This window comes from Homo sapiens, chromosome 1, assembly GCF_000001405.40.
Source record: "Homo sapiens chromosome 1, GRCh38.p14 Primary Assembly".
NCBI lineage: Eukaryota > Metazoa > Chordata > Mammalia > Primates > Hominidae > Homo > Homo sapiens.
This window is the reverse complement of record NC_000001.11, coordinates 145428225-145453120: the sequence shown is the minus strand read 5'-3', so window position 1 is coordinate 145453120 and position 24896 is coordinate 145428225. Positions and strand designations below refer to the sequence as shown.

General features: G+C 50.8%; 1 long non-coding RNA gene and 1 pseudogene across 4 annotated transcripts; one reads left to right on the top strand and one right to left on the bottom strand.

Annotated features, from left to right (window-relative positions):
* Positions 1-9766: 9766 nt before the first annotated feature.
* LOC105371288 (uncharacterized) lies at positions 9767-23787 on the bottom strand. Of its 4 annotated transcripts, none has more exons than XR_001737728.2 (6): positions 20737-23787; positions 19737-19834; positions 15789-16104; positions 14005-14089; positions 10969-11158; positions 9767-9921 (listed from the first exon to the last, which is right to left on the bottom strand). It is a non-coding gene; the product is annotated as an uncharacterized LOC105371288 (long non-coding RNA). The 4 variants fall into 4 exon arrangements; XR_007066562.1 differs by having other exon boundaries at positions 10969-11184; positions 14005-14208; positions 15789-16060; XR_922089.3 differs by having other exon boundaries at positions 14005-14208; positions 15789-16060.
* RNU1-154P (RNA, U1 small nuclear 154, pseudogene) lies at positions 21428-21594 on the top strand (annotated as a pseudogene).

Here is a 24896-nt window from a genome sequence, read left to right as displayed (position 1 = left end):
GCCAGAGACCACTGTCTGCTCTTTTCTGAGCCTTATGGTTCCGAGGCTCAGAGCCCAGATGGAAGAGGAGGGAGCAGGCCCCACAGCAGGCGAGAGCTCTCCTTCCAGAGCCCCATCCTCACCCAGTGACTGCCCCAAGATGCCTGGTGCACAGGAGGGTATATGGAGGGGTGTTTGGGCTGGTGGCAGAGGAGGAAGGAGATGGCTGTGGAGTCCTCGAGTCTGGGGCTCATGCCTTCAAGGTTCTGTGTGTGTGAGGAAGAAGCAGTCGGCTACATGGCCTCTGGTCTCTTGGGTGAGGCCCTCAGAGGGAGCCTCGCATTGCCTGCCTGGATCCCGGGGTGCTGCCCCCATCTGCTCTGCCTGCTCCTGAGCCTGGGGCTGGCCCCTGCTGGATGAGAGCAGCATGTACAGAACTGGGCTTGGGGGTGTCGCATGGAAGGCTCAGCCCCCAGAGCTGTCTGGGCTTGGGAGTGTCACACGGAAGGCTCAGCCCCCAGAGCTGTCTGTGATGTGCTGGGCACAGCAGCATTGAGGTGGATTCTGTGCCTTTCTGCAGCACGGCCCTGGGGTAGAATTTATGGAAGGCCCTGTGGGGGTCTGTGGCTCCACGGCCCTGGGGTAGAATTTATGGAAGGCCCTGTGGGGGTCTGTGGTTCCGCTAGCAATGCCCGTTGGGGGCTGGGGTGGGAGGTGGCTGGTGGAGAGTGTGGCCTCTCAGAGGACTGGGCGCTCCCACATCCAGTGGGCACTCCCAGAAGCAGCCCAGGAGTCATGGTAGCTGTTTACCCCTCTCTCTCCCTGTGGACCCAAGTCCCTGAGGACAACGGTGCCTTATTTTTTTCAGGAGGTCCCTAGAGCCTCACTTGGAGTGGGCACCCAGGAGGGGCAGTGTGCCTCTGCTGAAGTAATGAATTGTTGGGGTGTAAGCAGTGCTGGGGGGTGCGGGCCAGCGGGCAGCTGGGTAGAGGCGGCAGGACCCGGCCTCATGGGGCGCTGTCCATGGTGCTGAGTGTGTCGGCCCTTGAGGGCCAGGAGAGGAGGCAGGAGGAGTTGTACCAAGCCCTGGGCAGGACCCCTGGATCTCCCAGCACACATAGACTGGGTCCAGGGCTGCTCCTCCTTCCCCTCCCCTTCTTCCCCCTCCCCCTCCTCTTCCCGCCTCCCTCTTCTGTTTCTCTTCATCTCTCTCCCTCTCCCTCCTCTCCCATCTTTCCCCCTCCCCCTCCCTCCTCCTCCCACTTTGCCTGTCTAGCCCTTTGTCTCCTCTCCACGCTCTCTGTCTCTGGCCCTCTTGGTGTCTTGGTGTCTCTCTGCCTCTCCCTCTTTTCTTCTGCCCCTCTTTCCCTTGGCTTGGGCACGTCTCTGCTCGCCTGTGTCTGCAGCAGGGCCTGGGCGTTGCTGGGGTGGCTCCCAGGTTCCTCTGCCTCCACACGTCTTCCCTCCAGGCAGCCTGGGTTGTGCAGGGAACCCCGGGTTGGAGGTGATCTGTGTCCCACGGGGCCACATGCTGGCTCCAAGTCACAGGAGGGAGCCGCTTTGCTGCTCTCGTGTGGGGCACCTGGGGACACGTGAACCCCTGTGTGCGTATCTGTGTGTGGAGGGGGCTGGGTCTGCTGTGGGGCGAGTGCTGGTCCATGGGGAGCCCAGGGAGGAACCCTCACCTCACCCTTGTGAGCCAAGGGCCTGTGGGTAGTGGGCGGTATTTCTCATTAGTTTGTTGTTTTTAATTAGAGTTGATTTAATTGGTGCTCAGAGGGTTGGAGGGAGAGGCAGACACCCTGGCCTGTTGCTTGGCAAAGCCTTGAGCACCCTCAGAGGCCAGCTGGGGCCGCTCTGCTCCTGAGGCTGGTGTGGAGCTATGGAGGAGGCCCTGGGTCCATGCCTCCTGCTGCCTGGAGAGGCTCTGAGCCTCCGTGTTCTCACCTGGGAGGGAAGGCGGGCGCTCTGTCCCCTTGTCTCCGCTTTGCTTCTCTCCCAGGACTTTGGGGCACCCTTTGTTAGCCTGCGTGAGTGCGTCTGGGCTGTGGGGGGGCTGTAGTCGGCTGTAATGCTGCCGAGCTCCTGCTGCCCTGGGGAGCAGCTGTGGGGCCTGGGCTGGGGTACTGTGAGGATCATCAGAGTGTGCTTCTGAGAAACCCTAGGCCTGTGAGGGCTGCTGGCAGCTTCCTGCTCTTGTGTGTGCCCAGGGCCTCCAGGCCCTCAGTTCCCAGCCATGCTCTTGACTGGGTCAGCCCATGTGTGGCCACCTGGAGCTCCTCTGACTCGCTTGGGCCGGGGTGAGGTCACAGTGGCTGGGTCCCTGCCACAGGACTCTGCCTCCTTTCCAGGAGGGCTCCTGGCGCCTGGCCGTCTCCTGTGGTCGTCTGAGTGGATCATTTGCCAAGAGAGATTCTGGGCCCAGGAGTGAGGCTTCCCTTCCCCGCTTCCAATAACACCGTGCTACCAGGGTGGGGTCGGGGCTGAGCCGGCTCCCCACACAGAGTGGGCCTGGGGTGAGGACAGGGGTCCGGTTGTGTCTGACATGGGGGCCTCCAGCAGTTCACTCCAGCAAGAGCCCCACTGAGTGCTAGGGCGCAGCTCTTAAGGACCTCAGGCCACGGGGAGGAGGTGGGAGGAGGCGGGAAGGCCGCCACTTCCCTGCCTCCGTCTGCCTTCCCGTCCATGCCCCATCCACCATCCTGCCCTCTGCTCAGCTCTCTGGCCCTGTGTCTGTCCAGCCAGGTGGGCAGCCCTGCTGCCAGCCCTCCCTCCACCTGTTCATCATTCATTCATTCAGTGTTCATGGAGCCTCTGCCAGGTGCTGAGGACTCAGGAGTGAAGGAAGACAGCTGAACCTCTGCCCGGTGGCCCATGTTCTGGGGACAAGACACCTCCCGGGCCTGGTCTCTTTGCAGCCTGGTGTGGTGCACAGCGGCATAGGCGTGCCCCAGAGAGCAGTCGGCGGGTGGACGGATGACCAGAGAGCAGTCGGCGGGTGGACGGATGAGTGGATGGTGATGAGTTGCGGCATGGGCGTGCCCCAGAGAGCAGTCGGCGGGTGGACGGATGAGTGGATGGTGATGAGTTGCGGGCTTTTTTTCCCCACATGTGAAATGAGATAAAGCATGCAGGTTGCAGGCCTGGAGGTGCCACTTTGCATAGGGTCTTCAGAGGAAGGACTGGAGAGCGTGAGGGGTGAGCCATCTAGCAGCCTGGGAAGAGGTATGGCTGGAGGTGGTGATTCGAGGGACATGGGTGTCCCAGTCATCTTCAGAGCTTGAGACCACCCAGGATCCCCAGGGAATGGGAAGTGTGGAGGAAGAGCTGCCCTGTGATGGAGACCAGGGCACCTGGACTTACAAGTGGCAGCTGGCGGTGAGGTTGGCGGAGCAGCGGAGGTGTGCCTGGCGTAGACGGTGTTCTGGGAAGGAAGAGCATGCAGAGGCCTCTGCAGAGGCCACGAGAGGACCCAAGGCTGTGCACTGCGCCCCGTGGGTCTGAGGCAGGAGCTGGTCCAGCCATGTGGTGGGGGTGAGGGCTTGCTGGGAATGGGAGGAGAGGGGTTGTGGTGGGCACCTGTAGGCAATGCTTGTCTTTTAGAGAGTTTTGCAGCAAAGTGAGGCAGAGTGACAGGGGCAGGGGCAGGAGGGAGATGGAGGCCAGGAGAGTTTTATGAAGTTGGGGGTTTACAGCCCGTCCATGCCACGTGCATAGTCCAGGAGGGAAGGACAAGTGGACAGTGTGGACAGAAAGGGGACAGCCCTGGAGCCGTGAGGGAAGCAGAGTCCAGGACCTCCGGGAGTGCGGGCCTGTGCATCTGCATAGACCAGCAGATGCAGGAAGGGTGGCGTGGAAGTCCTCTAACTGTGTCCAAGTTTCCACTGAATTTGGAAGCACGTCCATCAGCCAAGGTGGGGTGCGAAGTGAGACAGAGGGAGAGGGAGCGAGTGAGTGAGTGCGTGGACTAGAAGCCCCTCCATCCGCTGCCCCAGCCTCTCACTCCCCCTGCCCCACCCTCCATCCACCCCTTCTTTGTCCCCTTGTCATCCATTCACTCATTCCTTAGGAAGGGGCTCGTCGAGCGCAGCTACTACCTCCTCGTCCCTGTTCCAGTTGCTGGGGACACAGTAGTGCACAACACAGGCCGTTCCTGCCCTCTCAGAGGCTGCGTCCTCCTGGGCGAGGCAGGCAGTGAGTGTTGCAGGGCAGTCGGGGTGTAGTGTGTCCTTCCACTGGGGTGGGGTGGCCCCTGGGGAGCAGCTCCAGCAGGGGAGAGGCTGGGAGGGTGGTGGGGGCAGGGGGGCCTTGGCTCGGGCGTTGGAGGGCTCTGAGCACAGGTGTGGCCCAATTGACTCGTGATGGGTGCTGGGGGCACAGTGTAGACGGTAGGGAAGGAGAGTGGGAGCCGGAAGCAGTGATCCAGGTGGGAGTGGTGAGGGTTTGTACCAGGGAGTGGCGCTGGAGAACGTGGCAGGTGGGCTCTGACACCCAGAAAAGGTAGAGCCCACGGGAAGCCCCGTGGTGCCTCCGGAGTCTGTCACCCATCGGCGCAGGTGCCTTTCCCCTTCCGTGCCCCAGCCAGTCTCACGTGCGTCCATGCTCCCAGTCCTGTCCCCACGTCACTGCCTCTGCCCTCCCGGGCCCCTCAGGAAGCCCCTGTCAAGCCTCTGGCCCTGTGGGGCTGGTTGCACCTGGGGGTCAGGGACATGGGCAGGGTGACAAGTCAGGGCCCCCAGAACCCCAAAGCCCTGGGCGTCCCCACCCCTGTTGTGGCTCCAGTCTGGTGCTACCCTCCATGGCCCTTGGGGACATCAGAGAAACACATCCTGGCTCAGGCAGGTGGCTCTCCGGGGGAGCTTTCCAACCACGGCTTCTTGTTTTAGTCTAAATTAAACTGGGATTTCTTTCCAGGACATGTAATTAGAGCCCAGCTTTCTCCCTGGACCCGGCCTCCTGTGGGTTGAAGAGAGGGTGTGTGGGTGTGTGGCCGCTGCACCAGGAGGCAGTCTGGTCAGCGGAGCTCAGGGGCCGAGGCACTGCTGACCCTGAGCTTCCTGGGCAACCACTGTGGCCTCCTGTTCTTTTGGGCTTTGTGGACGCAGGCCAATTCAGATGGTGGCAGGCACTTCTCAGGGAGAAGCCAGGCCCAGCTCAGGGCCCCACAGAGGGTCCCCATGGGCAAGGAGGGTCCACCCAGGGGAGCAGCAGCCCATGTGCAAGTGTGCGGCTCAGGGATGACCTGATGCTGTGTCTGAACACAGGTGACAGCCCAGAGACGCTGCCTTCCCACAAGGCGACCTGACGCTGTGTCTGAACACAGGTGACAGCCCAGAGACGCTGCCTTCCCGCAAGGCGACCTGACGCTGTGTCTGAAAACAGGTGACAGCCCAGAGACGCTGCCTTCCCGCAAGGCGACCTGACGCTGTGTCTGAACACAGGTGACAGCCCAGAGACGCTGCCTTCCCGCAAGGCGACCTGACGCTGTGTCTGAACACAGGTGACAGCCCAGAGACGCTGCCTTCCCGCAAGGCGACCTGACGCTGTGTCTGAACACAGGTGACAGCCCAGAGACGCTGCCTTCCCGCAAGGCGACCTGACGCTGTGTCTGAACACAGGTGACAGCCCAGAGACGCTGCCTTCCCGCAAGGCGACCTGACGCTGTGTCTGAAAACAGGTGACAGCCCAGAGACGCTGCCTTCCCGCAAGGCGACCTGACGCTGTGTCTGAACACAGGTGACAGCCCAGAGACGCTGCCTTCCCGCAAGGCGACCTGACGCTGTGTCTGAACACAGGTGACAGCCCAGAGACGCTGCCTTCCCGCAAGGCGACCTGACGCTGTGTCTGAAAACAGGTGACAGCCCAGAGACGCTGCCTTCCCACAAGGCGACCTGACGCTGTGTCTGAACACAGGTGACAAGAGACACTGTGCCCGAGGGGCCAGGACACGTTGGAGCATGGACCGAGCTGGGTGTGTCCATGCTGTGACGGGACTCTTCTGCCACAGGCTCTGCTTCAGCCTGGGGTCCTTGGACTGCAGCCCTGCGGGAGGTGCAGCACCCCGACCTCCAGTGCCGGGTCGGGCTGGGGTTTGCCAGACATTCTCTCCCTTTCCCTACCAGAGGCTGGAAATGGCCTTTGTAGGCCCTGACCCTCCCTCCCTCACCCCTAGTGTGGCTGGAACCGGTGGAGCGGGGGCTGAGTTCTGACAAGTCCCTGGAAAGCAGGGAGAGCCCCCGTGTTCTGGGGCTGGGGCTGGGATCACTCCAGGCATTGCCTGACTGGGGGCTCCACAGCCCCCCTCGTGTCAGTGAGAACCCACCAACTCCACCCCACAATGCAGGGCCCTGGCCCACGTGCAGTCCATGTGGTGTGGCTGTGAGGACCAGGTGGGGCGGTGGCGGGTGGCTGCTGATCTAGGACCCTGTGACCAAGCTCTGGTGCCCCTTCCTGACAGTGGCCTCCCATCGGGCCTCCATGTCCGTGGGGACAGGCCTGGCAGCCATGCTGGGGATGTAACAGCCTGAGGAGGTGCTGCTCTGATAGGGTGGGATCCTGGCCCCCTCTTCAGCACACGCCCCTGGCTGGGTCCTTATGGAGGGCCTGGCCCATGCCCCCGCTCTCTTTCTCTGTGTCTCCCCCCTCCCTCTCTGCCTCCTTCCTGCATTTCAGGGTTCTTAACACTCTCCTGGACTGGGGGGCAGAACTGGGCCCACTGAGAGCCCCCAGGGTCCCCTGATTCTGTGCGGGGTGAGGGTCCACACTGCCCGGGCGTGAGACCTGGGGCTTGGCTGTGCTGTGCTTGGGAGGCTGACCCTGGCCTTGGGCTCCAGTCCTGTGGGGTCTTCTCTGGGGTCTCCGCGTCTCCATGTGTGCTCTGCTGCCTGAGGAGCCCAAATCCAGAGACTCCCTGGATAGAAGCAGCATGGGGCTGGCTCACTGGATGGGCATCGGGCCAGCGTTGCAGACGCCTGGGGCCTCTCATATGCCCGCCTGGCATAGCCGACCCAAGGGAGGGTTGGCCTCTCTGCGGATCTTTCACCATGGGGACTGGAGAGCTGAAGGAGCCCAGGGCTGCCCTTGGATACCGCAGACTTTCCCAGGGGGACGGGGGACATGGGTGGGAGATAAGGAAGGGAGGTTTCAGCTCAACCCAGAGAAGGACTTTCATCATTCATGGGGGTCTGGGCTGCTGTCCTCAGGCAAGTGGGGACTGGACCAGGTGGTCTGTTCTTCACTCATATGTCCCTGATATGGGCCAGGTACTTGCTGGGCACGATGGAGCCAGGGCCCTTCCCCCCAGGGTGCGTGTTCTGCCAACGGCAAAGTCCCCATGCCCCAGGATCCACTCTGTGCTCCAGGCCTCTCCTCTCGACGGTGACTGCAGGCCGGGCTCCAGGGATGGGCGGTTCTGCAGGTGTGCAGAGTCCCTCTTACGCAGGTGTGCACAGAGTCCCCCTTACACGCCTTTCTCTTCAGGGGTCCCACCAGGAGGGTCAGTCGGAGGCTTGATTTCCTGCCCCAGCAGCTGGAGGGGTGGGGGTCCAGGGAGAGTGTGGTGGGGACAGTGAGCGGCAGAGCTGGAGGCCGTGAGGCTGGGGTGAGCTGTGTGAGAAGCCTTGAAGGTCACAGTTTGGGGAGTCTCAGCCCAGGACCCAGCTCTGAGGGGACAGTGCGGGAGGGATGGGGCAGGTAGGCAGGGCGGCCTGGGGACCTGGGACTGGCCATGCTCGTCTCTCTCCGTGGTGCTGATCTTTCCAGCTCTGCCTGTGGGTGGGGGATGGAAGGGAGGGACACAGCTGTGTGGTGTCGGGGGCACACGCCCACTCCTGGGACCATGGCTGGCCTGTGCGTGGCCAGGCAGGTTGGGCTCTCGGGGCGCATGGCTACTTTGAATTTTGGGTCTGTGGCTGTTGGGCTGATGGAGCACAGCCAGGGATCTGAGATGGGCTCTAAACTTGCTGTCAGTATTTAAGAAGGAACTTTCACGCAAAAAAAAAAAAAAAAAAAAAAAGGACAAGGCCAATCTTTCTGAACGTGGAAACTTTGTACCCACATCACAGTTTTTCCTCATTAGAGGAAAGGGTCTGCAACCAACTCAAATGATTGGTCGAAACCAACTCACATTACTGATTGCACTGAATGTGTATCAAGCCTCAGGCCATGGATACCTGGGTCCTAGTGTTCCTGTGACATCCCCTTGGGGTAGCGGAACACTACCTTTCAATGATGGGAAGTCTTGGGCAAGAGCAAGTCTCCTCCCCTTGTCCAATACAGACAGTTTTTCTGTCTAACCCTACCTCAGCAGTTGCCCTATCCCTGGGGCCAAGGGTTGGACGAGTTCCTAGCTCCAACATCAGTGGTAGATGCCTTTTGTTTTATGTGAGAAGCAACCAGGTTTTGTGCCTGTACTCTGGTGGTGGTCGATCATGTGATCATGACTTTTATGCCTACGCCACTGTGGCAAGCTTGAGAAATCCTCTTTCCCTGTTACATGTGTCTTGTCAGCACTAAGGATGTGGGAGGAAGGACCCAGCAAATGGGCAAAACCATGCTATGTATCTGGGACTCTCAGAGTTTCTAATCTGTCACAATAGTTCACACTTGGCCTTTAAGAAATGATGAAATCTTCAGTGATTTTCTCCAATGAACATTTATGGCTGCCATCTTTTCCTTCCATTATCTGTCAAAGATGAACTGCTTCATGTGTTTGTCCTTCTATAGGGGGTTTTCTCACGCTTTGGACTTCAGCTGACTCAGGGGCCTTGCAACTTCAGCTCTCTGGTGGGATCAAAGCACGTATGATTTTGCAGACCATACAGCTTTTTCTTGTCATTAGAGTGGGAACAACTGTCTCTTACAGCTTTCTGCATCTTAAACAACTGTTGAATCACATGTCTGTTTTAAAAAATCCTTATCTTTTCCTCTATATCTGGATTAATTTCCCTTCAGGATACTACACAAATTCTGTTAGCTGATCACTTCTTTTGAGGCTATGAGGTAGACATAGTGAGCATCTTGACGATCCCTGCAAATGAGTCTATTCATTAGGTGCTCACGGGAAACCTGGGCCCAGACCAGTAGTGAGACACACAACTGTCACCCACAGCTCTAGTTGAATTTTTGTCATGAGGCTCTTTCTCCTCAGTCAGCATACAAGTCTTAGAACAAGTTTGAGATTGGGACTATCTTAAAATAGGCTTCCTGAGTGGCTAGTAAGATTTGCTGGGACTCCAATTTCTGGTCAAATGTGAGCCAGCAGAGTAAAGACAACATTCTTGACCCAGGAGAAGGCAACAGTACATGGATACACCATATTTTTCATCAACCTCAGAATAATTACCTCAATGAATATTTAAATTAGTGATTGAAATACTTGTTTTCCCAAGCGTGTGATGCTGAAAATTGGAAAAGTTGCCTTGGTTGTCTAAATGATTGTGCGCTCAGATTGAATTTGAGTGTACACAAGGTGCAGTCTCCATTGGAAAAGATTCTAAGAACTGGATGTGGGTAGAGGATGCAATTATGGAACTTGGTATCTTTCCCACTTTCTTTTCTTTCTTCCCATTTCGACTAGTCTTGTAATGCTAGGCCCAGGCATCAATATACACACAACTAAAAAAGGCAAAATCAGTGCAAAAGACACAATATCTATACAATGAAATCAAATGGTGCCTATTGCTAAAGTTACTTTAACTTCTCATCATGTAGCCCAATAAGGTGAATGCTGCCCACCTACCAAGGGTGTTAGTCAGCTCAGGCTGCCATAGAAAGATACCAAAGGTTGGGTGGTTTAACAGCAGACTTTTATTTTCTCAATGTTCTAGAGGCCAAAAGTCCAAGATCGATGTGCTGGTAGAGTTGGTTTCTGGGGAGGCCTCTCTTCCTGGCTTGCAGAAGGCCACTTTCTTGCTTTGTGCTCCCATAGCCTTTCCTCTGTGCCTGTGTGGAGAAAGAGAGAGATTCTTTGATGCCCTTCCTCTTCTTATATGGACACCATTCTGACCAGATTAGGGCCCCACTTGTATGGTCTAATTAACCTTAATTACCTCCTTAAAGACTCTATATCTAAATACAGTCAAGTTGGGGGTTAAGCTTTCAACATATAAATTCAGGGGAAAACAATTCATTTTATAACACCAAGCAATAGGGACGAGCCTAAGATTCCTTTTTTTTTTTTTTTTTTTTTTTTGAGACAGAGTTTAGTTCTTGTTGCCCAGGCTGGAGTGCAGTGGCATGATCTAGGCTCACTGCAACCTCTGCCTCCCGGGTTCAAACGATACTCCTGCCTCGGCCTCCCAAAGTGCTGGGATTACAGGTGTGAGCCACTGCGCCTGGCAATCCTATGATTCTTTACCTATTAAATCCTATGACATTTGCCTGGTGGTGGGGCCAGGAAGAAGTTAGCAAGGCTGCTATTATTGCTCATTCTACAATTAGGAAAGCACACCTGAGCCGAAGTGCCTGGCTTATGGGAAAGAGTGCGGGTCAAACAGGTATGAAATAAAAATAGGGGAAAATGGTAGTAAACAAAAGCAGTGCTCTTACGTGAGTCATGCATCCAGGAAGGATTAAAATTGTGCAATTTCATGGAAATCCTATTATCAGGAGAATGACTTTACAAGTTTTATTAACTGGGGGGGGCGGGGTGAAAAGGATGGTGTCGATTAAGGACAACACCTGATTGCCCAGCATAATGTGAATTCTTGACTAAACAGCTATAGGATGTGAAGGAAAGATCAGCAGTCAAAGAAAACTCAAAGATTTTTAGACTGAGCATATGGAAGGGTGGTGTTTCCATCCACAGAGGTGAGAAAATAGCATGTGCTGCAGGTTGTAGGAAGAAAAACAGAGATCAGCTCAGGGCCCCAAAACCTTGCTAGAGTTTTCCATTCACCCTGTCCCCATTTCTACATCCCCTTGAGATTTTTGTGAGGCTGAATGCAGAGGTGCTTGGCCACTTCTCCCCCTGGGCACCAGTCCTCTCACCTCCTCCTGACAGCGTCTTCCATGGCCCTGTCTCTGATGACCATCTCCCAACAAGATGTCATCCTGCAAAGGTGATCTGAGCCATAGCTGGGGCAAGGCCATCCACTCCTTGACTTGTGTGGCCTTGGTGGGCCCCAGGAGCACTTCACCGCTTCTCAGGGTAGTAGATCTTTTGTTTGGAACTCTTCTTCTGAGGAAAACAGGGAGGGAAACAGCCTGAGGGGTGGAAAGGGAGGGCTGTACCAGGGAGCCTAGGAAAGTTGAGCCTAGGCTCTCAATGCAAAGAACATTTACCACCTGAGAAGTTCTACTCAGTTACTATTGTTAGTTTAGAATCTCATCAATGAAAATGGTATAGAAATTTGCCTTCTTCCTGGTTATATGTGCACCTACATAATATCCTTAATTTTGCCTCTTGGCTCACAAGCCTAGAATATTTCCTATCTCCCTGGCCCTTTACAGAAAAAGTTTGCTGAACTCTATAGACAACAATGCCCCACACTTTACAGAAAAAGACACCCAGGAATGTCTTTTACTAATTTTCATTTGTTGGACATTTTTCCTGGTCACCAATAAGTTCCCTTTCTTGGCTTGTAATGATTAGTCTGTGGTTGGTTGTCATTTGCAATGACACAATATATACTGGGACCTCAAAGCAGAAAAAGTGTAGAAGAAAACCTAGGAAATATCATTCTCAACATCAGCCGTGGCAAAGAATTTATGGCCAAGTCCACAAAAGCAATTGTAGCAAAAACAAAAATTCACAAGTAGGACCTAATTCAATGAGAGAGCTTCTGCACAGTAAAAGAAACCATCAACAGGGTCAACAGACCACCTACAGAATGGGAGAAAATGTTCACAAACTGTGAATCTGACAAAGGTCTAATGTCCAAAACCTATTAGGAACTTTAAAAAATCAGCAAGAAAAAAAATAATCCCATTACAAAGTGGGCAAGGTGACATGAACAGGCACTTCTTAAAAGAAGACATACAAGCAGCCAGCAAACACAGGAATAAATGCTCATCATCACTAATAATCAGAGAAATGCAAGTCAAAGCTACAATGAGATACCATCTCACACCACTCAGAATGGCCATTATTAAAAAGTCAAAAACCAACAGATGCTGATAAGGCTGTGGAGAGAAAGCATATAAACACTTGGAGTGAATGTAAATTAGTTCAGTCTCTGTGGAAAGCAATTTGGAGATTTCTCAAAGAACCTACAACAGAGCTGTTTTTCAACCAGTAATCTCATTACTGGGTATATACCCAAAGGAATGTAAATCATTAAAACAAAAAGACACATGCGCTCCTATGATCACCACCAGGCTATTCACAATAGCAAAGACATGGAGTCAAACTAGGTGCCCATCAATGGTGGATTAAATAAAGAAAATGTGGTACATACACAACATGGAATACTGCACACCCATAAAAAAGAATGAAATCATGTCTTTTGCAATAACATGGATAGAACAGGAGGCCATAATCTGGAAGAAACTAATGCGGAAACAGAAAATGAAATACTGAATGTTCTCACTTAGGAATGGGACCTAAATATTGAGCTCACATGGACATAAACTTGAGAACTATAGACACTGTGGACTACCATGAGGTAGGTAGGGAGGGAGGGAGAGTGGGTTGAAAAACTAGCTATTGGGTACTATGCAAACTATCTGGACCCAATATACCCATGTAACAATGCTACACTTGTACCCTTGGTACACAACAAAAAACTGAGATTTTAACAAGAACAAAAATTATAGTACACTAAAAAAATTATTGCACAGAAAGTAAAATAATCATGGATTTTAAAAATTAAATATTACAAATAAAGATCTAAAATCAATAATCCAAACTTACACTTTAGGAAACTCAAAGAAAACAAGAGCAAATTAAGTCCAAAGTGAGTGGAAGACAAGAAACAATAAACACTAGAGCAGAAATCAAGGAAATTGAAAACCAGAAATCAATAGAAAAAAGTCAAAAAAACCTGAAGAGTGTTCTTTGAAAGGACCGATAAAATTGATAAACCTTTAGCTGGTGAACCAAGAAACAATGAGAAGATACAAATTACTAATATGAGAAAGAAAACAATGACCCTCACTTCTGATCTCGTGGACATTAAAAGCATAGTAGAGGACTATTATGCACAATTCTCTGCTCACAAATTTGATAACTTCGATGAATTGGATCAACTACTTGAAAGATAAAGTTGACCAAAACTCTACAAGGAGAAATAGATACACTAAATAGGTCTCTATCTATTGACGAAATTGAAGCAACAATTAATAACCTTCCAGAACAAAGCGCCAGGTCTAGATGGTTTCACAACCAAACACTTAAGGAAGAAACTATATCAATTCTCTCTAGAAAACAGAAGCCGAGGGAACACGTCTTAACTCTGGTCTAGGAGGCAAGCTTCACCCTAGTAGCAAAACCAGACAAACGATTTTGAACCAGGATGTTGAACTAGCCTGGACTGCTGACCAGCTCCTGAAACTCAATCCTGGAAGAACTGTAGAAGCGAGAAGAAAACATGGCTTACGGGAACTGTAAAAAATGGTAAACCGGCCGGGCGCGGTGGCTCACGCCTGTAATCCCAGCACTTTGGGAGGCCGAGGCGGGCGGATCACGAGGTCAGGAGATCGAGACCATCCCGGCTAAAACGGTGAAACCCCGTCTCTACTAAAAATACAAAAAATTAGCCGGGCGTAGTGGCAGGCGCCTGTAGTCCCAGCTACTTGGGAGGCTGAGGCAGGAGAATGGCGTGAACCCGGGAGGCGGAGCTTGCAGTGAGCCGAGATCCCGCCACTGCACTCCAGCCTGGGCGACAGAGCGAGACTCCCTCTCAAAAAAAAAAAAAAAAAAAAAAAAAAATGGTAAACCTCCTGTAGAGACCAAGGCAGTATTGACCCGGTGTGTGTGGAAGGTTAATGTTCACCGACAGCAGAGAGAAAACAAGATGGAGAAAAGTATTTTCGGTTCTGCTCTTGCGTCTCTCTCCATGGCTCTGGGCCAGCTGCGCTTCTTACCCCTTCCCGAAAGAGATTTGTCAGCGGCTCTTAACCCTCCAATGCGGTAGCTGCGATGTGACATCGGGAACCCATATAGGCTTCGCTGAGGAAAAGAGTAGATGAAAACAGGGGTGAAACCGGATGATCGCGGGGCTTTCCTCTTCAGAGTGTCCTCCTCAGGCCTCCAGAGCTAATGATTGCCATGGCCTCCCCACCACACTGCTTAAAGAGAAGTATTAAAAAGAATCCTGTGGACGGAAGATTTGCCTGGTGGAGTGTAAAACAAACAGGGCTGATAGAAATGAGTTTTGGGGACGTGCTGCTCTCCACTTGGGGCCCATTCTTCATTTTGCCGAGACCACCAAAGACTGGGCCTTCCTCGACAGGAAGGTCAGAGGCCCCTCTCCGCAGCTCCCCTCATCTGCACTCGGGTTCCTCCTCACATGCCTCCCCTTTCCCTGGGCCCCAGTTCCCCACCACTGCTTGTGTCCGCCCCACCCCACAGCTTCTCTCCTTTCGGGGAGTCTCGCTCTGTCACCCAGGCTGGAGTGCAGTGGCGTGATCTCGGCTCACTGCAAGCTCCGCCTCCCGGGTTCACGCCATTCTCCCTCCTCGGCCTCCTGAGTAGCTGGGATTACAGGCGCCCGCCACCACCCCCGGCTAATTTTTTGTATTTTTAGTAGAGACGGGTTTTCACCATGTTAGCCAGGATGGTCTCGATCTCCTGACCTCGTGCTCCGCCCGCCTCAGCCTCCCAAAGTGCTGGGATTACAGGCGTGAGCCACCGCGCCCGGCCGGGAATGTCATTTCTTGAGCCGCACTCCATCGCGAGATGTGGTCTAATGGTCTATCCAAGGTCCAAGTAGAGAATCAGTGACCAGGTACCTCTTTGTATTGCAGGGATCCGACAGCAGAGACGATAAAGTCGCGCCGGTTTTAGGGCCAAATACGTAGAAACGCAGAGACCAAGCAGACCCACTGGCTGCTTCAAAGACAGTCTCTGCAAAGTCTCGGCTTAGATAAATTCCTCTCCGGGGCCCGGGCTCACGCCTGTAATCCCACCACTTTGGGAGGCCGAAGCTGGTGGATCATGTGAGGTCAGTAGTTCAAGATCAGCCTAGCCAACATGGTGAAACCCCGTCTCTACTGAAAATACAAAAATTAGCAGGAAATGGTGACACGTGCCTGTAATCGCAGCTACTTGGGAGGCTGAGGCATGAGAATCTCTTGAGCCTGGAAGGTGGAGGTTGCAGTGAGCCAGGATCGTGCAACTGCACTCCAATCTGGGGGACAGACAGAGACTCTGTCTCAAACGAACAAACAAAAATAAATAAAAGAAAAATAAATTCCGCTACGGAAAGAACCCAAGGACTATACAGTAGTTCCCCCCTTCCCCTCCTTTTTTTTCTTTATTAGCGCGGCACAGTAAGTAAATGTAAAAACCACAGGGCACAAAGACAGGACGCTGCATTTGCCGGAAATGGAATCCAGGTCTCCCGGGTGGGAGGCGAGAATTGTACCACTGAACTGCCAACGCCTCCTGACCCCGAGCTGTGCAGCCTTGGAAAGAGTTAAGACACAGACTTGGGAACAGGAGTCAAGATTTTCACCGTGTTCTCTTTGCAAGATGTGACAAACAAAAAAGACACCTAGAGCAATGGCTCGCAGTGGAGAATTGCCATCAGGCAATACCACAAAGTTATGGCTTCACATTAAAAGAGCTGACTTGAAAAAGCCTTATTCTGAGTAGGCTCTGAAGCAACTGCATAACAAACCTCTGTAGGAAAATATCAGAAACTCACCCAGCTTCTTGTCTCTGGTCCTGTATCCAGTGTGAGCCTGTGGAAAGTTCTTGCCTCGCTTGTTGATGTCTTCTCTTTGCCTCCCTGTTGCTTGGTTCCTCCCAAACCCTTTCTTCCCAACCTTGACACGAACATCAGTACTTTCCCCAAAAAGGCCTTCAGGACCCAGGAACTCGAGTATGAAAAGCTGAACTCCTGGGACTGTGCCTGGGATACTCCAGGAGACCAGGGTGATAATTGAGCTTCTCTCCTCCTACACCTCTTTTGAGTTCCTGGAAAACGCCAGGGATCAGATCTTGCTTTTAACTTCTTATGCCTTACAGAGACCAAAACAAGAGGGAATAAATGGACGTTTCACTCCCAGAATTCTTCTCTTCACCTGGCCCTGGTCGGCCACCCAAGGAGGCCAGTTCAGGGAAAAACAGTTCCATTTGATTCTAGGTAGATGCTAGGATATTACTCCTCTAGTTAACATAAAGCGTTCTTTTGCTGTTTACTTTTGTCGGATATTCATGTTTTCACCCTCATTCTTTTGTTTCTAATGAGCGTGGTATAGATTTGCACCGTCCTTTTTGTTGTTGTTGTTTATTTTCTTTCCTTTTTACATTTTTTATTTCCAACTTTTATTTTAAGTTCAGGGGTACATGTGCAGGATGTGCAGGTTTGTCTCATAGGTAAACCTGTGTCATGGTGGTTTGATGCACAGATCATCCCATCACCCAGGTACTAAGCCCAGCATCCATTAGCTACTCTTCCTGATGCTCTCCCTCCTCCCAACCCCCACCCTCCAACAGGCTCCAGTGTCTGTTGTCCTTGCCCCCTAACCCCATTTATCCATGTGTTCTCGCATTCAGCTCCCAGTTATAAGTGAGAACACACGGTGTTTGGTTTTCTGTTTCTGTGTTAGCTTGCTAAAGATAATGTGCACTGCTTTTGACCCGGTGTGGTGGTTCACATCTGTAATCTCAGCACTTTGGGAGGTCGAGGTGGGTGGATCACGAGGTCAGGAGTTCGAGACCAGCCTGGCCAATATGGTGAAACCCCATCTCTACTAAAAATACAAAAATTAGCTGGGCATGGTGGCACGTGCCTATAGTCCCAGCTACTCGGGAGGCTGAGGCAGAAGAATCCCTTGAACCTGGGAGGTAGAGGTTGCAGTGAGCCGAGATCTGGCCACTGCACCCTAGCCTGGTGACAGAGCGAGACTCTGTCTCAAAATAATGATAATAATAATAATAATAATAATAATAGGCTGGGTGCAGTGGCTCATGCCTGTAATCCCAGCACTTTGGGAGGCCGAGGTGGGCGGATCACCTGAGGTCAGGAGTTCGAGACCAGCCTGACCAACATGGAGAAACCCCTTTTCTACTAAAAATACAAAATTAGCTGGGTATGGTCGCACATGCCTGTAATCCCAGCTACTAGGGAGGCTGAGGCAGGAGAATTGCTTGAACCTGGGAGGCGGAGGTTGTGGTGAGCTGAGATCACACCATTGCACTCCAGCCTGGGCAGCAAGAGTGAAACTCTGTCTCAAATAATAATAATAATAATAATAATAATAATAATAATGTGCACTGCTTTGAATATTTAACCCTTTTCTGCCATTGAACCATTAGAGTCCGCATTTCCTTTTCTATCCAATATGAGAGACTTAGATCCATTATAATTAGCAGTAATTAGTGTTATGTTGGAGATGATGGGCATAGTTAGTCTCATTCCCACCACCTCATTGTATGATTTCTGTGTTTTCGCTTTGTTTATAAAATCTCTTCCTGCCTTTTTTTTCTTTTCTTTCTTTTTTTTTTTTTTTTGAGACGGAGTCTCGCTCTGTTGCCCAGGCTGGAGTGCAGTGGCATGATCACGGCTCACTGCAAGCTCTGCCTCCCAGGTTCATGCCATTCTCCTGCCTCAATCTCAGGAGTAGCTGGGACTAAAGGCACCCGCCACCACGCCTGGCTATTTTTTTTGTATTTTTAGTAGAGATGGGGTTTCACCATGTTAGCCAGGATGGTCTCGATCTCCTGACCTCGTGATCCGCCCGCCTCGGCCTCCCAGAGTGCTGGGATTACAGGCATGACCCACCGCGCCCGGCCTCTTCCTGCCTTTCTTAAGTAGACTGTTCTGTTTGGGTAAATTTGTTGTTTTCCCGTAGTGTTTTTGAAATTCCATATCCCTGATTTGTTAATATATTCTCTTAGATCTCAGGTGCACAGGAAGAAGGTAATCATGTACCTTAGCTCAGGGCACATTATGGTGGCTGCTCTCAGCAAGGCCCTTACTGTCTTTCCTTCTTTTCTCTGTTCATCCCACTCCCATTCCCCTGTCCACTTCCAGACACACATTCTGAGGAGTTTAGCATATGCTCTTTTATCCTACACTTTCTCTGCATATTTTAATAAAGGGATGTCTGGGGAGAACACACATTGTTCTTTGGGGGTGAGGGGTGTTAACTTTATTTTATTTTATTTTATTTATTTATTTATTTTGAGACGGAGTCTCGCTCTGTCACCCAGGCTAGAGTGCAGTGGCCCGATCTTGGCTCACTGCCAGCTCCACTTCCCAGGTTCACGCCATTCTCCTGCCTCAGCCTCCTGAGTAGCTGGGACTACAGGTGCCCGCCACCACGCCTGGCTAATTTTTTGTTTGTATTTTTCGTAGAGACGGGGTTTCACCATGTTAGCCAGGATGGTCTCGATCTCCTGACCTCGTGATCCACCCACCTCGGCCTCCCAAAGTGCTGGGATTACAGGCATGAACCACCGCGCCTGGCCTAAAACAACTTTAAAATGTGAATGGTTTCCAAAAACCCATTTCATCCTCTTTACTCCATTCTGTGAACTATCTTCTCAACTTTTCTATTCTAATACAAAAGTTTGTGTATAGGCCGGGCGCGATGGCTCACGCCTGTAATCCCAGCACTTCGGGAGGCTGAGGGGGGCAGATCACGAGGTCAGGAGATTGAGACCATCCTGGCTAATATGGTGAAACCCCTGTCTCTACTAAAAATACAAAAAATTAGCTGGGTGTCCTGGCACGCACCTGTAGTCCCAGCTACTCTGGAGGCTGAAGCAGGAGAATCGCTTGAACCCAGGAGGCGGAGGGTGCAGTGAGCCAATATCGCACCACTGCACTCCAGCCTGGGCGACAGAGTGAGACTCCATCTAAAAAAAGAAAAAGAAAAAAAAGATAGAAAGCAAGCAAGCAAGCAAGACAAAACCAAAATATCAGAGATGATAAATTCGCTGGATGGGATTAACAGCAGATTAGACGTTGCAGAAGAAATGATCAGGGAATATGGAACCATGAATAATTGAAAATATGCAAAATGAAACTCACAGACAAAAGATTTTTTTTTAAATGAAAAGATTATCAGTGAACTGTAGGGCAGATTTAAGAGGCCTAATTTATGAGTAATGTGAGTCCCTGAAAAGGAGCGGGGAGGAAAGGAAGCATTTATTTTCTTTCTTTGTTATTTTTATTACGAGTGGGGTTTCAGCATGTTGCTCAGGCTGGTCTCCAATTCCCGGCCTCACTCAACACCTCCTGACTCCTGAAGGTGTGAGCCACTTTTCCCAGCCAATTTTTGAAGAAACAATAGCTGAAAAGTTCCCAACCATAATGAAAATTATAAATCCAGTGACCCAAGGAGCTGAGGAAACCAAAGCACAAGAAACATGAAGAAAACCACTGCTAGATACCTCATAATAACATTGCTGAAATCCAGCCAGAAGAAAAAGACATTGTACCTACACAGGAACAAAGATGAGAATTGCCATCAACTTTCTTTCTGCTCTCGCCGGCCCCCACTGGGAGCAGCAATGCAATGGGAGCAGACAGAGAAGCAACATCTTTAAGGTACTGAGGGCAGAGGAAGTTAACCTAGAATACTCTGCCAGAAAAAATAAATTCCCAAAACTGGAAGTGAAGTAAGGACATTTAGAGACTTACATAAGCTGACCGAATTCACTACCAGCTGACCCACACTACAGAAACGTCAAAGGAGTCTTCCGGGCAGAAGGAATCCAATACCAGATGAAAATCCAGATCTACATGAGGAAATGAAGAACACCAGAAATAGGTAACTATACTAGGTATTTTCTTATTTTGTAAATTTCTTTTGTAAAAGTTTGACCATTTAAACAAAAGCAATAACAATGGGTTGTGGGTTTATAACATGCGTAAAAGCAAAGTACATGTCAGCAATAACTTCAAGGCCAGAAGGCGAGGTTTAATATCACTTGAAGGTTGACTGTGATCAGTTAAAAAGGTTTGCTATAAGCCCTAAGGGAATTACTAAAATAACAAAAGAAAGAGTTATAGCTAATAAGCCAACAGAGGAGAGAGAATGGAATGATATAAAAACCGTGTGAACACTATGATGGAGTAATTGCTCTTCCTATAGTAATTGCACCTCTATCCTATAGAAATACACCAGTGGCTGAAAACGCCGAAAATGCCCGTACAAGAATGACTAGAACATTATATGTAATCATAAAATCACAGAACCAATTTAACTTCAAAAGCGTATGGAAAGGGCTAAATGAATGACAGTAAACAAACAAACAAACAAACAAACAAAATAGAAGGCCGGGCGCGGTGGCTCAAGCCTGTAATCCCAACACTTTAGGAGGCAAAGGCGGGCGCATCACGAGGTCAGGAGATTGATACCATCCTGGCCAACATGATGAAACCCCCGTCTCTACTATAAATACAAAAATTAGCTGGGCGTGGTGGCGCGTGCCTATAATCCCAGCTACTCGGGAGGCTGAGGCAGGAGAATCGCTTGAACCAGGGAGTCGGAGGTTGGAATGAGCCGAGATCGCGCCACTGCACTCCAGCCTGGTGACAGAGAGAGACTCCGTCGAGAGAGAGAGAGAGAGAGAGAGAGAGAGAGAGAGAGAGAGAGAGAGAGAGAGAGAGAGAGAGAGATCCTAGAATCCTAGCGGACCTTGATTTACGTCCTCATGTCGTATGGGAGACACGGAGGAGAGGCGGGTAAAGTTGGTCTTGCTCTGCCATTCCATGAGAGAATGTGCTGGGTAGAAGAAAGTTGCCAGCGGTTTAAGCATTTTTAAAATGCAAGAAACGCTCAGTAGAACGAGCTTGAACCAGCCAACTCCAGACTTGGAAGCAAGCACACCACCCGACTGCGACAGACGGACAGTCGACCCTCGCTCCGGCATCACCATGCAGAGCAAGCGCCCATCCAATGCTAGGCGGAGCCACCGTCTTTTGCAGAACAATTGTGCAGGTTCCAAAGCCTCGGAAAACCGGAGAGGCGCATCTTGCCGGCTACGGTTGAAACCCGTTCACTGGGTGATTCTGAAGCTAGAAGGGCAGCCGAACGGCCTTTCCCCCGTCCTGCCCCTCGTCCACTGTAAGCTCAGGGGGGAGCGGGACCCAGGGAGGTGAAGTGCACAGACTCGGCAGAGGCGGCGGGCAGAACCGCGGGGGTGAGAGGGCGTGGTGGCTGTGGGGCGGGAGCCGCTGCTGAAAGGAGGCCTGGGTTGTTGGGAGGGTGACTGTCCGTGGAATCTTTGGCGGAGGGTGGTTTGGAAGAATGGCGAGGGGAGAGCAGAGGAGAAGGTGGTGACCCTGATCGTCCGCCAGGGGAGAGTAGGCTGTGCTGTCCCTCCTCTCCCCTTATGTGGCGGGGGACATACAGTGGTCAGGAAGGGGGTTCTCCCCGGAGGAGGCTAGTCCACCACACTTCGGCTCCGCTGACCCCTGCGATTTCTCCACATGCGGGGCCCTCGTCCGCGGTGGTGTTTGCGCTATCCGGCGGCTGGGTTCGCGCACTCACTCTCCTGACATGCCTTGGCTCACCGCCGACGCGGATATCGCCGCCAGGGACCCTTCCCGCCCTCCTACGAATCTTGAGTGCGCTTCCTTGGTGTTCTCACCGAAGCTTACGAACAGACAGATGTGAGCTCTCTGTCTCTTACACGCTGAATTTGGCTATAGCAAAAAAGCCTTGACCAAGAGCTTGGGTCTCCTTCGGACCTGCACACGACTCCCCAACTCCCGCCTGCAACGGCGGCTCTTGGATCCCGGGCAGGCAGCGTCCACCCAGCGTGGAACCGTGGCAGCCGCAGCCCCCGCAGGTTGGAGGGCAGACACTAGCAGGAGAAAGGCCACAAGGCCTGCGTGGTGGGAAAGCATGGGAGACGTCGCTTTCCTACCGGGCGAGAAGGTCTCCCTACAGTCTTTGGAGACAAGATGGAGGGAGGCACCCCTTCCAGGAACAAGGCGGCTGCTCCTGAGGCCTGGCTCCGCACGGAGGCTCCTGGGTCCCGCGCGCCCTCTCCCTACCCGCTGTAGCCAGAGCTGCTTCACACATCTCAACCGGCCTCGTCAGGGGAGGGGTTGGTGGATTGGTCCTTTCATCATTTTATAACGTCCCTCTCTCTCTCTGATTAGTTTCTTTGTTCTGAAATATACTATATCTGGCATTAATATAGCCAGTCTTACTTTCCTTTAGCTAATGTTTGCATGATATATCTTTTTCCATCCTTTTGATTTCAACTTGCCTGTATCATCATATTTGAAGGTAGTCTCTTTGTAGCCAGGATGTAGTTGGGTCATGTCCATTAACCTACTCTGCCAATCTCTGTCTTGTAATTGGTGTACTTAGCCCATTGATATTTAATGTGATGATTGATATGGTAGGGCTTAAGTCTGCCATTTTATTTTTCCTTTTCTGTTTGTTCTCTCTGGTTTCATTTTCTGGATATGCTTTATTTTTCTTACCTGCTGTGGTGACTTAAGCATCTTTGAGAATGGTGTTTTGCCTTATCCATAGTATTTTTTAGTATATGTGTTTGTATAGCCCTCTTGGTTTTTCCAGGTATATATATATATTCATATGTCTGTGCATCTATATCTGACCACACAGTATACTGGTGTCATTGTTTCACCAGTTGAGTGAACAATAGACAAGCAACCTCCTATGTAGGTCTCTTTACCCTTCCAGTTTATAATTGTTTCCAACATTTTCTGTATGTAGAGTTAGAACCACATCGGATGGTGCTATGATTTTTTTCTGAAACCGTCAGGCATAGTTTAGAAAACACAAGAGGAGAAAGAAGGCCTATTTTGCTCACTGTTTTTTAAAAATTTTCTTTCTGACGTCCCAAGTTTCCTTCTTTAATCATTTCCTTTCTGTCTGGAGAACTCCCTTTTGCTTTTCTTTTAAGGCAGAACTGCTGGTCAGAGATTCCCTTAGCTTTTCTTAATCTGAAACTGTTTTGATCTTCCCCTTAATTCCTGAAAGATGTTTCTGTTGGACAGAGGAGTCTGGGCTGACAATTATTTTCTTTCACGGCTTGAAAAGCACTGCACAACTTCTTTCTGCCTCCATGGTTTCTGATGAGAAATCCATCATCACCAGAATTGTTTTTCCTTTCTAGGTAAGGTGTCACCTTTCTGTGTTGTTTTCCAGATATTTTCCTTGTCTTTCTTTTCCAACATTTTATTTTTTCATGTCTTGCCATAGACCTCTTTGGGTTTTTTCCTATTTGGGGTTCTAACAGCTTATTGAGCCTGTAGGTTTATGTCTTTTGCCAAATCTGGGTAGCTTTCAGCCGTTTACTTCTTTGAGTATGTTTTCAGCCTTGTCTTCTTCCTCTTCCCCTTCCAGACACTGATAGCAACATGAAAGTGAGAACTTTTGAGGTAGTTTCACAGGTCCCTGAGGTTCTGTTCACTTTCTCCCCCAGTCTATTTTTTCCCTGTTAGGATTCTGTAATTTCTGTTTTTCTCATCTGCAGTATATGGATTTGTTTGCTTCGCACCATCCATTCTGCTGCTGAGCCTATCTGCTGGACTTTTTATTTTAGTTGTTGTATTTTTCACTTCTAATACTTCCATTTGGTTCTCATTTATGTCTTGTATTTATTTGCTGAGTCTTTCTACTTGTCCATTTGTTTCAAGTGTGCTTATAAGTACCACTAAATCATTTTCATCAGGCTTGCCTGCTTTAAACTCTTTGTCAGACAATCCCAACACCTCTCTCATCTCATTGCCAGTGTGTAATTGCTGTCTATTTTCATTCAGTATGAGATTTTCCTAGTTCTTGGTATGATGAAGGATTTTCAATTGAAACTTGGACTTTTGGGTGTTATGCTATCAGAGTTTCAATTTTATTGAAACCTTCTGTTTTGACTACCTTTTTTTTGAGTCTGTTTCTGCAGGGGAAGAGGAGTGGTGCCATCTCATTGTAGCCAGATGTGTGTAGAAATCCAGGTTTCTCATCTGACTGACCTCTGTTGACACCCTGAGTGGAGGAGCTGCTAAGGTAGGAGAGGGAGTTCCAGCAGCCCACTGCTCCTCCACTGCTACCTCCCTGGCTGGGTGGGTAGGAAAGCTACCTCCACTGCTTTCCATGTGGCCTCCAGTGACACCACAGGACAAGAGCAGCCTTGTTACTGCTGGGTGTTGATGAAAGTCCTGACTCTGCACTAGGACTCCTCTGATACCAGCCTAGCAGACAGAGGGAGAGGTGCCTCATGACCATCTAATGAAGTCTAGGCTCCAAATGTAGTTTCTATTGACAGGGAGGTAAACATATTATCACCTGGCAGGGATGATGATGACAGCCCCAGCTTCCTCCTCTAACATCTGTCATTGACATTGTTTTTCCCCTCTAGGTAAGATGTCATCTTTCTCTGTTGCTTTTGAGGTATTTTCTCTGTGTTTAGTTTCCAGCATTTTAGTCATTGTGTGTCTCATGATAAATAAAATGCTGGAACCTAAAGAACCCCTGGGCAAGGTGGGGGTTTAGCATATGTCATTATACCTGTGCAAGTGTGAAACCCGAAGCCCCTCACTGGGATTTTGCTAGCTTTTATGTTGATGCAGCCACAGCTTTTCTTCCACGGTGCTTGACCTGAGGAAACTGATGATCGTATATAAGTGTCTTGTCTTGCTAGACTGCCTCTTTGCTGATCCTTTGCCTAGAGAGAGCAGGATCGTATTGGGGTTTGTTGGATCTGTAGCCGTTGGTATTTCTGGGTTGCCATCTCCTTTGGCTCTACATCTAGGATCTAGTGGGGGCATGGAGGAATCCTGGGAACCCATCTCCTGGCTTTCTGTGGGTCTTGAGGAAGC